Genomic DNA, 12,408 nt, shown 5'->3' with positions numbered 1-12,408 from the left:
ACCAAATAACCTTTAAAAACAAAAGCAGAAAAACCAAATTGTTTGTGTAAGCATATATTCTACCTATAAACTACATTCCAGGTCACAAGTCAATATTCCATCTTTCAACTCATCCAAAAAAAAAAAAAAAAGGGGTTAAACAAGCTGCAGCAGCACCGCCCTACATACAGTACATCCACGGTCAACGACTTCATCAACTACTAGAAACTTGCACAGACTCTGTTCCTAGTTAGGAACAAATGTACACTATTGATAAACTTCACCTTTACAATTAACAAGAACTCCTGTGTGCAATTACTTACCCTCCACTGAGTGGGCGACAATAAGAGTGCCTATTTCAGAGATTACATTTAGTGTCTGTACTAAGGCAACCGGATGCAAAACAACTTACTCTGCGGCTACCCACTTGAGAGGGCAAAGGTGGACTGGGAAGGCCAGCCAGCCGGGCGTCTCTAAGGTTTAACGAGACGCGAGCTCGGGCTTGGCGTTTCTCATCCTCATCTTGGGGCTGTAACAACACCCTGGAAGCGTCTGTGGTTGAAAATGCGGAACACCTGGCGTCTCCCAAGGCGCTCCCCAGTCCGCCCCGCATCGGGCCGGCTTCCACATTCACCCTGTCAAGGGCACGTCCCCTCTCCATAGGCTGGGGAGCGCTGCACCCCGCAAGCGCACGAGGCGCCGGCTCGGCCCCAGGCCCAACAGGTGCGGGTCCGGGTCCGCGCGGGTGCGTGCCCCCACGTACCTTCGAGGGGTGTTGAGGAGCCGCTGCTGCTCGTCCCCCTCCTCCTCATCCTCGTCCGTCTCCGAGTCAGGGTGACAGTAGCAGAAGGACCCGCTGCTCCGCTTGCGCTTGTGGCTGCCCGCACAGTAACAGAATCCGTGGCCCGCCGCATCGTCTCCAGTGTCCGGCCTCCGGGCCGAGCCCCCCGCCCTGGCACCCTGCGCCTGCTGGGCAAGGGCTGGTCTTGGCTGGCGCAGCACCCGGCTGCTCAACGATCCCATGGGTCACGGCTCCCCGAGACTTCAGGGAGCCCAGAGAAGGGGGTCTCCCGCCATGGCTCGGCCGCCGCCGCCAGCCTTCCCCGAGCGCAGGTGCCTACACCGCCACCTTCTCACGCGCAGCCCCAACCGTTGCAGCGGACGCCACAGTCTCCATCCTCTTCCCCGCCCGCAGCGTCCGGTCGCGCCGCGCTCTAGCACCGCAGCACCTCGCCCCCTCGCTTTCGCAACAAAGCGCGGGACGGAGGGCGCATGCGTACGGCGAGCCTCCGGAAGGGGCGGGGCAAGGCGTGCGTGCGTGGCAGGTGGAGCCTGCGCACAATCCGGCGCGCCAGTGCAGGCTGGTGTTTTCGGGCCTGCGGTGGGCGTGGCCTCTGACTAACCCGAACTTCGGCGTAGACGTAGTGTTAAACCGTGGTTCATACGCGCCTCTGTAGTGGCAAGACCTGGGACTCCAGTCACTCATTGTTTCTACAAAGGTGCCTTGAGTCCCCGGTGCTTATGGGCCTGTGCTAAGCTAGTGGCAAAACCCCGAAGCTATTTGGTCTCCTTGCGGGAGCTCGGCGCTTGCTGGGGCCACGCTCTGCTTGCTTGGGCGTGGCCTCCTGTGAGAGGGGGCCCTAGGATGAGGCGATATGCTGGATTCCTGGGCTTCCTTAACATGAGCCCTCCCCTGCTGTAGACGTGAATGGAACCCGTTAAGTTATGGGAACGTTCCCGGCACTCCTTTCCTTTCCTCTCAAGTGCCAGTGGGATGTCCGAATAGGGTCTGGCACCATGACTGTCTGGACTCAAAAGTGCCTTCAGGAGGCCCTAGCAAAATTTACTAGTGTCTGCTTGGAGTAGTAGCAGCTCTTGTGATGGACTCCGGACAGCCAGCGTTCATTCCCTGACTCCCTTCTGTTACTTTTTAAGTAAAATAATGAAAATATTTCAAATAGAGTAATACAGATTCCTGTGGACCGACCACTAGCTTGAAATTTTATCAGACTTGCTTTCATTCTTTTTTCCTCCCAGCTTTATTGAGGTGTAATCAATGATTCATTCTTTTTTAAATAGAACAATACATATAGGCAGAAGCCCCTGCGTACCTCCTCCATCTCATTCTGTCTCCCTCCCCAGTGGCAATCACTGTGCTGAGAATGTTGTATATCATGTCCATGCATGTCCTTATATGCATACCCATAAATAATATTTTCTTTTGCATGTTTAGACATATCATGGAATGGAATCATAGTTGTACCTCTCATTGTGCACCTTTCTCCTCTCTCAAAATTATACTCTCAAGATTTATCCATTTGGTCAATCGCTAGATAATTTTCACTGCTCATTGTATGACTGACCCATATTTGTTTTTACATTCCTTAGTGAGAGAGGTTATTTCTACTTTAACGGCCTTACAGAGCAGCAATGAACATCATGTGCAATGGATTCACCAAGCAGATTCCCAAAAGTGAATTTGCTGCGAAATCTGCAACTTTGTTAGCTATTACCAAATTGCTCTCTGGGTTGATTGCATCAAGGTACCAATTTAGACTCCCATTGGCAGTATACGTAGTTTGAGGGTCCCCGTGGACTAATGTCTGATTCATGCATGAGAAATCTGAACCGAGAGAGGCTAGCCGAGGCAGCTTGGGGTGGAGGTGGGAGGCGGAGAATAATGGCTGCAGAGGGATCAGCTTGCATACACAGAATTTGCCAGCACAAAGAACGTGCAGGTGTTTCCCATGGAGCAGATGTGGACCACCATGAGACAGCTTAGGTCCTGCCCAACAGGCCTGGGAGGAAGGCAATGAACTTCAGCACTGAGAACCTCAAAGAGTCACCAAATTCCTAGAGGCTGAAAAAGGAGTACACATTTGCCTTGCCAGAGGAACCTCAGGTGAGTAGCGTGATGAGGTTGACAAAGGAACCCACAAGAATGCCCACAAGAATCAACTTTAGTCTGTCAGGGTCACATAGGGCTGATCCTCTACCACCACAGCAATGACAGTCAGGTAACAACTTTCCTGCTCCCCTTAACTCTCTTCTTTGCTACAACCCAGACATGGTAGGTTGGGGCAGGGGGAGAACATTGAAGGAAACCTAGGTGGAAAAAGAAGAGAAGCCCATGGTCTCCCTTTCCCCAGAAACCAGCTTCCTACTTGCAATAGGCCAGAGGTGAGTGAGGGAAGAAGCATCAACTGTAAATCAAGCTTGCAATTTTGACTGGATATATTACTTACTAAAATGACACTGTTTTATGACCTTAAGGGACTACACAGTAGGACTTTAAAACCTAAGAGTGAACAGAAAAGTCATGACTCTATCTGAATTTACATCTGAAGAAGGGGAAGAACTGCCCACTGAATAAATGTAAGTGGACAGTGGGAGGGAAAAACAAACATAATTATATCTCAAAGTCATGCTAATTCAATATGACAAACATTCGTCCAGGGTGACTTTATCCCACCTTCTAGAAATCTTCTGGTGAATCAATGCTATTTGTTTTAAAATTTTGGCTAAGCTACATATCATTTAAAGATAAAACTTCTACCAAAAAAATCACCATGCTTCCAAAGACAAAGCTGATGTGGAGATTCTGTGGTCTTCTGGGAAGGCATTGAAGTGGTAGTATTATTTCCTGTAAGTAACTGGAGTGACTAAATATTCACATAAGTAGCTTCTACCAGTAGCTGTAGCTTTTATAATAAACAACACTAAACTAAAAAATTCTTATTATTTCACTCACCAAAATACAATGGATGCTATAAAATCAACAAAAAAGGCAAGTATTCCCACTATAAGAATATGAATGTCCTTTATACATTTATGATATTTAATATAAATGGTCTACTTAGAGCAGAGGGCATCACTCATTTCCAGAGAATAAGTTCATACATTATTTTATGTTATTGAGTAGTGTTTGGCATATGTGAACATTAGCCAGTAGGCACGCATAAGACTAAATATGATTTTTTTTTTCTTATCTTGTAATTCCTGTAGAAACTGAGTAACACAAGTCCTTCAAAAATAGCTCCTTTCAGGGGCCAAGATGAAAAACCTCAGAAGGTGAAAAGTGGATCAGAGAAAGACTATACCTCACTTTAAAGACACTTTTTTTTTTTTTTTTTTTAGATGGATTCTCGCTCTGTCGCCCAGGCTGGCGTGATCTCGGCTCACTGCAACCTTTGCCTCCTGCCTCCTGGGTTCAAGCAGTTCTCCCTGACTCAGCCTCCGAGTGGCTGGGATTACAGGCACCAGCCACCACACCCGGCTAATTTTTATATTTTTAGTAGAGATGCAGTTTCTCCATGTTGGCCAGGCTAGTCTTGAACTCCTGACCTTAGGTGATCCACCCGCCTTGGCCTCCCAAAGTGTTGGGATTACTGGCGTGAGCCCCCGCCCCCGGCCTAAAAACACCATTTTTAAATTAAAATTATTTTTCCACGTTCTTACAAAGTGAACTTTTTAATTAAATCCAAGTACATCTTCAGAATGTTTCTGGAGTTGAAAGGCACAGTGCAAATAGAAATTACTACAATCAACAAAATTGATTTTAAAAAGTATTTTTAGCACAAAAAAGTTTTCTTTATATCATACTAAATTCAGAGCATTACATCATTCCCAGAATACCTAGTTTGAAGCTTATTTTTTTTTCCATTCACTTGCAAGCTGGATTAAGACATTAACTATAATAATATGGAATGTTCAGCATTTATGTTTGGTAACCAGATGTATATGGTTTGTATAACCATACTTTAGAATTTAGTTCAGATAAATTGGTTTTGGTATACTTTGACTACAGAAAGTGATTTCAACATAAGATGTGATGAAGGAAGTCTCCCATGAAAAACTTAGTAAGGATCAACTGATGCTATGGACAAAACCTAAAAAAAGAGATTTGTAGATGCTTTCAAGGCTTTGACTATGAAATATAGAAAACTGGATGGGCATTCTTACTGACCGGATGCTTACAATTTCAAATGAAGAAACTACTAGCCACTCTAAAAATTGGATTAGGGAAAAAAGTGATTTTAGAACAGTCTTCCATTTAAAAAATTTTTCACTGAAAAGAAAATATGGAATAATTTAATATATTCAATGTCTGTGAAACACAAAGTAGAAAGTAATCTTTTAAAAACATGGAATACATATTTATTTCTACTTTAAAATCTCCATTTATATCTTATAAGCTTTGAAATGCAAGTACAGCTTTAAAGCATCATAATGACTAATTATAGGTGAATAATAATACAGACAGTCTATATTCTAGGAGGCAGCTGTAGGCGTTTTAATTGGAAATAAGCATTCTGAGATAATGATAATAGCAGTGTAGAAAAATGAAGTTAAAAAAATTCAAAGTGTTGAGAATCCTCCTGTCCTTCTGGGATTTTTATTTTAATCATCTCCTCCACAGAGAACAAGCAGTACTTTCCTGTAGTCTCCAGATGTGTCACCCTGTTCGATAGGGAAGCAAAGTTAGATAAATAGATTTTAAAATGAAACACACAGTTCAAAGTCATCTAAGCCAACTTTTTCAAGCTTGGCTGGATTTTTCTTAGCTTTAAATTTTTTTTGTTATTTTTTATTACGAAGGTAATACTTATTCAGTGTAGAAAATAAAGACAAAAAAGAACACAAAAATCAACCATTATTCCATCATCTAGAGACTACTATTCTTACCGTTTTGATGTGTGAATGTCCTTCCAGTCTTTTTTCTATGTATCTAGATACCCAATGTGATAGAACAGTAGTATTCTGTGTTCTGCTTTTTCACTTAACAATATAGCCTATTTCCCTATTTTGTTCATTTTTGTTTGTGGTTTTTTTTTTTTTTTTTTTTTTTTGAGACAGAGTCTTGTTCTGTCACCCAGGCTGGAGTGCAGTGGCGCCATCTTGACTCACTGCAAGCTCTGCCTCCCGGGTTCACGCCATTCTTCTGCGTCAGCCTCCTGAGTAGCTGGGACTACAGGCGCCTGCCACCATGCCCGGCTAATTTTGTTTTTGTATTTTTAGTAGAAATGGGGTTTCACCATGTTAGCCAGGATGGTCTTGATCTCCTGATCTCATGATCTGCCAGCCTTGGCCTCCCAAAAAGTGCTGGGATTACAGGCGTGAGCAACCGTGCTAGGGCCCTATTTTGTTAAATATTATTCTACAACATTATTTAATGGTTACAGAATATCCCATTGTATGCAGGTAAAATAATTTATTTGATCACATCCTCCCTCTCCCTATTGTTGGATATTTACGTTGTTTCAATTTTTCACTATTATAAACACTGCTTCAATAAGCATATTGTAGTTACATTTTTGTATATTTTCTTAATGATTTATTCTGGATAAATTTTCATAAAATGGGAATTACTGGACTAAATGCATTTTCTTAAACCTTTTTTTTTTTTTTTTTCTGAGACGGAGTCTCGTTCTGTGGCCCAGGCTAGAGTGCAATGGTGCAATCCTGGCTCACTGCGACCTCCGCCTCCCAGGTTCAAGTGATTCTCCTGCCTCAGCTGCCTGCGTAGCTGGCACTACAGGTACACACCACCACGCCTGGCTAATTTTTATTTTTTTAGTAGAGACAGGGTTTCACCATGTTGGCCAGGCTGGTCTTGAAGTCCTGACCTCAAGTGATCCACTCACCTTGGCCTCCCAAAGTACTAGGATTACAGGTGTGAGCCACCGCACCCAGCCTGTTTTCTTAAACATTTTGATATGGGTTACAAAACAGTCTTCCGGAAAGGTTCTATAATTTCTGCATATAAATTTTTGTGGTCTAATAATTGATTAATTTTTTAATCTTTAATTTTATTTATTTATTTTTATTATATTTTTAGAGACAGGGTCTTGCTCTATCACCCAGGCTGGAGAACAGTGGTGTGGTCATAGCTCACTGCAGCTTCGAACTCCTGGGCTCAAGTGATCCTCCCACCTCAGCTTCCCAGAATGCTGGGATTACAGGTGTGAGCCACTGCACCTGGCCTAGATTAATTTTTATTAGTCATTCGTGGGGACTAGAAAAGATGGAATCTCTGTATATAGGGTTCAAAGTTTAATAAGTATCTGTTAAGCTCAATCTTAATATATCCTTGTTTATACTTTGCCTCATTGATGTGCCAAAGCATAGGATGTATTAAAGTCTCTCGCTAGCATACTAATTCCATTATATGTTTTCTTCTGGAGCCTCAAGTTTCTTATTTATACATTTGAATGCAATATAATTTGGTACTGAAAGTTTCATAACAGTTTAATCTTTGCTGTGAATTGTTGCCTTTGTCAGTATAACGTGATCCACTTTCTCCTATTTAATACTTTTTCTCCCTAAATTCTTCTTTTTATTAATAGCATAATCTCCGCTTTCTTTCTTGTATGTCCGCTTTCTTTCTTTCCCTGGTGTTTTTCTTTAAGCTTTTTACATGTCACTGTATTTTAGTTGTTTCTTATAAACAGCATGAAGTTGGATTTTATATTTTTACCTAACCTGAGAGTTTATTTATTTTTATAACTTTTATTTTTATCTTTTGTCATTTTTTTCTATTATTTACATATTTTATGCTTCTATTCTGCTTTTTTCATTTCTTTTGACAACTATTATTGAATGAGTAATGTATTCTTTATTTTTAATCTTTTCTAGTGGTGTGTGTGTGTATACACACATATATTTACATATTTATATATACAGACATATATACACTAGATTATAGTGTTTTCTTCCCAAGCCAATCAATATATTTGTACTCAATCATTTTAGTGTTGGTATAGTATTATATTGTATGGATTTTCCATAATTTGTTATTCCCTATTGATTAATAGTAATAACAATATATAATAAATTATATACTATAATACCATATTATTGATATAAATATAAATAACATAAAGCCATGTAAATAATATAAATAATGCTATGATGAAGTATTATACTTCATCTATTCTTTTCACATTTCATTAAACAATTTTATTCAAATTCAGAGACTTTTTCTTGTGGTAAAAAAATATATATATATAATTTGTCATTTTAACCATTTTCAAGTGGCACTAGTTACTTTTACAATGTTATGTAACCATCATCACTGTCTATTTCTAAAACCCTTTCATCACCCCAAACAGAAACTCTGTACCCACTAACCAATAACTCCCATTCTTTCCTCTCCCTCCAAATTGCTGGTAACCTCTAATCTACTTTCTGTCCCTATGAATCTACCTATTCTACATATTTCATAAAGCAGAATCATACAATATTTGTCCGTTTGTGTCTGATTTATTGCACGTAGTATATTTTCAAGGTTCATTCACGTATCAAAAATGTCATTCCTTTTTTTCATGACAGCGTACCATTGAATATCATTGCTTTTTATGTATGTATATACATTTTGTTTATCCAGTCATCTGTTGATGGATATTTAGGTTGTTTCCACCTTGTGCCTATTGTTAATAATGTTTATGTTGATGTACAACTAGCTGTTTGGGTTCCTGTTTTCATTTAAGTATATAACTGAGAGTGGAATTGCTGGCTCATATGGTCATTCTATGTTAAAATTTTTTCTTTTTCTTTTTTGGGATGGGTCTTTACTCAGGCTGGAGTCTTGAAGTGGTACAGTCATGGCTCACTGCAGCCTCGACCTCCCCAGCCTCAGGTGATCATCCCACCTCAGCCTCCTGAGTAGCTGGGACTACAGGCGTGCACCACCACACCCGGCTAATTTTTGTTGATTTTGTAGAGACAGGGTCTCACTATGTTGGCTAGGCTGGTCTCGAACTCCCGGGCTCAAGTGATCCACCTGTCTCGGCCTCCCAAAGTGCTGGGATTACAGGCATGAGCCACGATGCCTGGTCTATATTAAACTTTTTGAAGAAGTTTGGTGCTTAAAGTTTCGTAACAGACTGTTTTTCACAGTGGCTGCACCGCTTTATATTCCTACCAACAGTGCACAAGAGTTCTAGTCTCTCCATATCCTCCATAAATCATTTGTCATTTCCTGGGGTTATTTTGTTTTTTTCTTGTTTGTAGTATATTTTCCCATAACTTCACTTACCGTCATCCTTGAATCTTAAACTAGTTATATAGTTCAGCTCTGCAAAATCAAGTTACCTCATAGCCTAGTCAGAAATAGAAACAAGTTCCTGCATGCCTTGTAGACGTAGTAACAAAATCCACAGCTTGGTGGGGCATGGTGGCTCACACCTGTAATCCCAGCACTTTGGGAGGCCGAGACGGGTGGATCACTTGAGGTCAGGAGTTCAAGACTAGCCTGGCCAACATGGTGAAACGCCATTTCTACAAAAAATACAAAGCTCATGCCTGTAGTCCCAGCTACTCAGGAGGCTGAGGCAGGAGGATCACTTGAACCTAGGAGGTGGAGGTTGCAGTGAGTGGAGATTGCGCCACTACACTCCAGCCTGGGCGACAGAGTGAGACTCCATCTAAAAAAAAAAATCTGCAGTTAAAATCACCTAATTGTCACACCTCTCCAAGCTTTGAGTAGGATTCAGAATATTTAGTTCACAGATCGAACGCTGATTTGAAGCTTGCAGTGCAGGCAACCTTAGCTCCTAGGGAAATCTGTCTCACTTTCATGTCCATGAGACTCTTCCAGCATCCTCAAGAAACAAAATCCCAGGAATGCCTGGCTTTGAGGGAGGTGAACCATTTCTCACCACTACCATGCCCTCTTAGGACTCCTAGAAGTCTGGTGCCTGGTAAAGAACAGTAATTCAGGATAGCTAAAATGCTTTCCCATATTCCCAGCAGACCTCAGCTGGCCCCTGCCTAGGACTCTGGATTCAGTTGTTTATCTTCTCTCATAATTAGGTAGACGAGGAAATTGTGTGCTTAAAAGTATTCATTAAAATGTAATCTTTGTCTGAGGTCAACATAAAATAATTACTGTATTTAGAAGGCAAATTTCCAGCTTGTATCCTGGCAAAGGTTTAAATATCTGTGTGAAAGAGGAGAGACTGGAAATATCGGGAGCATAATCTTTAAGGGAAATGATATATGCCAAGAAGAGGGGGACAACAAGTGCTAAATGCCAAGGTCAGAGGGGTCCTTTTCTGGATCCTTTACTCTGGACTTAGGCTGCTGTGACCTACCTTGATGAACGAGTACAGAGACTTTCCATAGAGTCTCTTGAAGTGTGCCCGGATATCCAACATGTCAATTTCTGCTCGAGAAACCATCACTCTGATGAGGGTGTTATCATCGGTGCCCAAGCCCTAAGGAAGAAAACGAAATCCAAACATATACAAAAACCTAGCTGTTTTTCAGTGTCTTCTTTAGTCTATCAAAGCAAGACTAGAGATGACTGTGCTGACGATGTCCTTTGCTCCACTACTTGGCAGGCCTGAGGAATATCCTCACTCTTTATCATGGTATTCAAGGCTCTCCACAACTCACTTTTCCAATGCTCTATGTTCTGACCACAGGATGCCGTTCCCTGCTTTTCTAGAGCCATAACCTGTGCTGTCCAGACATACCCTGCCACCTGGCTCACCTACGATTCCTTCTCATGGAGTATTATCCTTCCCTCCCCAGCCTTATCACCCCTTCCCTTCACCACATGAAATCCTCTGATGTAAAACTTCTACATTTGGAAGGTCCTGCTCAAATATACCAACTGTTTATATATTCTTTGCAGATTCTCCACCTCAAAAAACAAATATTGAAAAAAAAAAAAACCCTTTCCTCTGTGTTTCTACAATGTTTGGATCCTCAACTACTGTCTTACATTCTGTCTTGTTATAATTGGTGTTTTGCACATACTTGCCTAGGCTAGACATTCTTTGAGAGCAAGGTCTACATTTTTGTTGTTGTTGTTTTGTTTTGCTTTTTTTTTTTTTCTTTTTTGAGACAGAGTCTCACTGTGTTGCCTAGGCTGGAGTGCAGTAGTGCAATTTCAGCTCACTGCAACCTCTGCCTCCTGGGTTCCAGTGATTCTCCTGCCTCAGCCTCCCAAGCAGATGGGATTATAGGCATGAGCCACCATACCTGACTAATTTTTGCATTTTTGTAGAGACGGGGATTTCACCATGACGGCCAGGCTGGTCTTGAACTCCTGACCTCAAGTAATCCACCCGCCTCAGCCTCCCAAAGTGCTGGGATTACAGGCGTGAGCCACCGCACCTGGCCAAAGACTACATTTTGACCTTCCCTGCACCTCCTGTGATTCTCAGCCTGCAGAGTACGATGGAGGGTTAGGAATACGGGCTCTGGAGCTAGAATGCCAGGTAAACACCTGGCATTCTTGCTCCATACTTCCTCACTGAGAATCTTGGGCAAACTGCATATCCTTTCTATGCCTCAGTTTCCTCATCTGTAAATTGGAGGTTAGTAATAGTACCAGCCTGATAGAGCTGTTGTGGGGATATAATTAATCTATTAAAAACAGTGATCCATACATCCTAAGTACTCAGTAAATATCACCTAGTATTATTATTAGCAGGCACTCACTGAAGTATTTGATGAATTGAATTGGATCTTTCAGAGCAAAGTTTGGATAGGGGATATAAGTAAGCTTAAGAAGGTGGACACAAGATAACTCAAATTCATTTAGATGCTGAAAATAAGGCCATTTACCTTCATCGATTTATAGAGCTTTTCAGCAAAATATGCAGATTTGTTCCTCATGCACTTTACTGTCAAAGAAAAAAAAAGAAGAAATGAAAAGATTACAGATAAGACCCATGAAAAAAGAAAAGTGACAGTTGTTTCCTCTGTTTCTACAAGGTATCAATATTTGCTTTGCCAGGGAAATTTTAGCCAAGCAATGTTTCATGAACATAGGCGATGCTCTATGTATTTTCACAGATAGAAAGTACCCTCAATTTATCATCAAGTTCCTGGAGAAGTAATTGATAAAGTCTATCAAAGCAAAGGGTGGTATTTCATTTCAAAATAAGGATTACTGTATCTGCCATATGAGACAGTTACTAGTTCTAACCATTCACAGACTTGCAAGCTGCAGCCTGTATATCTGCACATTATTACCTTTCACATAGGACATACAAAGGCACAGAAGATATAAAATATATAAACCACATGGCACAATAGCAATCAGGTTGTATATAATATTTCTTGTTTAAAAATCTGGAATGTAACATGAGTGATTCATGATAAACAACTTTTATCTCTAAAAATAATTCTATATCCCCATATTGCAAACTGATAATGAGAAGGAAAATCTATAAACATTTGTTTCTCTACTCCCCCTACCAGCTTACCTATAGCCAGCAGAGCATCTTCAAAGCTACCAGATGTTTCAGATTTAATACTCTGTTCAATATCCTTCTGTGATATCCTTTTGTATTCATCAAACACTGCAGACAATAACAAAATAGTATTATTGGGAAGAAAAAACAGAGGAAACTAAAATTTATGGAGAGAATGAGCATTTTTAACTAGCCTACACTATTTATTCTTTGGCATATT

General features: G+C 41.2%; 2 protein-coding genes and 1 long non-coding RNA gene across 15 annotated transcripts in view, besides 7 other annotated features; 1 reads left to right on the top strand and 2 right to left on the bottom strand.

The window, feature by feature from the left end:
• Positions 1–1,235, bottom strand: part of GMCL1 (germ cell-less 1, spermatogenesis associated) — a 51,725-nt gene extending 50,490 nt beyond the window's left edge. For all 3 annotated transcript variants that reach the window (XR_007079574.1, NM_178439.5, XM_011533033.3), the window contains exon 1: positions 743–1,235. Coding sequence is in view for 2 of the 3 variants with exons in the window: in NM_178439.5 (NP_848526.1) it covers positions 743–1,002 (260 nt within the window). In the remaining variant the exon portion in view is untranslated. The remainder of the gene's footprint in view (positions 1–742) is intronic.
• Positions 357–1,277: an enhancer, noted in NCBI's record as "H3K27ac hESC enhancer chr2:70056750-70057670 (GRCh37/hg19 assembly coordinates)". NCBI's record gives its function as "activates a minimal SCP1, AML or CMV promoter by ChIP-STARR-seq in naive H9 embryonic stem cells {active_cell/tissue: H9 hESC(naive)}" and the evidence as "EXISTENCE:reporter gene assay evidence [ECO:0000049][PMID:30033119]".
• Positions 357–2,199: a biological region, named in NCBI's record as "H3K27ac hESC enhancers GRCh37_chr2:70055828-70056749 and GRCh37_chr2:70056750-70057670".
• Positions 571–746: a silencer, noted in NCBI's record as "fragment chr2:70057281-70057456 (GRCh37/hg19 assembly coordinates)". NCBI's record gives its function as "represses an EF-1alpha promoter that drives an FKBP-Casp9 reporter gene in an ReSE screen in phorbol 12-myristate 13-acetate-treated (for megakaryocytic differentiation) K562 erythroleukemia cells {active_cell/tissue: K562(+PMA)}" and the evidence as "EXISTENCE:reporter gene assay evidence [ECO:0000049][PMID:32094911]".
• Positions 694–773: a silencer, noted in NCBI's record as "silent region_11601". NCBI's record gives its function as "represses an Ori minimal core promoter by ATAC-STARR-seq in GM12878 lymphoblastoid cells {active_cell/tissue: GM12878}" and the evidence as "EXISTENCE:reporter gene assay evidence [ECO:0000049][PMID:35858748]".
• Positions 1,154–1,383: a silencer, noted in NCBI's record as "silent region_11600". NCBI's record gives its function as "represses an Ori minimal core promoter by ATAC-STARR-seq in GM12878 lymphoblastoid cells {active_cell/tissue: GM12878}" and the evidence as "EXISTENCE:reporter gene assay evidence [ECO:0000049][PMID:35858748]".
• Positions 1,278–2,199: an enhancer, noted in NCBI's record as "H3K27ac hESC enhancer chr2:70055828-70056749 (GRCh37/hg19 assembly coordinates)". NCBI's record gives its function as "activates a minimal SCP1, AML or CMV promoter by ChIP-STARR-seq in naive H9 embryonic stem cells {active_cell/tissue: H9 hESC(naive)}" and the evidence as "EXISTENCE:reporter gene assay evidence [ECO:0000049][PMID:30033119]".
• Positions 1,364–5,153, top strand: LOC124906021 (uncharacterized). Its single transcript, XR_007086846.1, has 2 exons — positions 1,364–2,881; positions 4,117–5,153. It is a non-coding gene; the product is annotated as an uncharacterized LOC124906021 (long non-coding RNA).
• Positions 1,794–1,883: an enhancer, noted in NCBI's record as "active region_15978". NCBI's record gives its function as "activates an Ori minimal core promoter by ATAC-STARR-seq in GM12878 lymphoblastoid cells {active_cell/tissue: GM12878}" and the evidence as "EXISTENCE:reporter gene assay evidence [ECO:0000049][PMID:35858748]".
• ANXA4 (annexin A4) overlaps positions 3,783–12,408 on the bottom strand; it is a 183,305-nt gene continuing 174,679 nt past the window's right edge. For all 11 annotated transcript variants that reach the window (XM_047444083.1, XM_017003943.2, XM_024452835.2 and 8 more), the window contains 4 exons: positions 12,201–12,296; positions 11,557–11,615; positions 10,074–10,196; positions 3,783–5,439 (listed from right to left, as the gene is read on the bottom strand). In XM_047444083.1, coding sequence (XP_047300039.1) covers positions 5,380–5,439; positions 10,074–10,196; positions 11,557–11,615; positions 12,201–12,296 — 338 coding nt within the window. In that variant the 3' untranslated portion in view covers positions 3,783–5,379. The remainder of the gene's footprint in view (positions 5,440–10,073; positions 10,197–11,556; positions 11,616–12,200; positions 12,297–12,408) is intronic.

This window comes from Homo sapiens, chromosome 2, assembly GCF_000001405.40.
Source record: "Homo sapiens chromosome 2, GRCh38.p14 Primary Assembly".
NCBI lineage: Eukaryota > Metazoa > Chordata > Mammalia > Primates > Hominidae > Homo > Homo sapiens.
The sequence above is the reverse complement of the archived record's forward strand: the minus strand, read 5'-3'. Positions and strand labels throughout refer to the sequence as shown.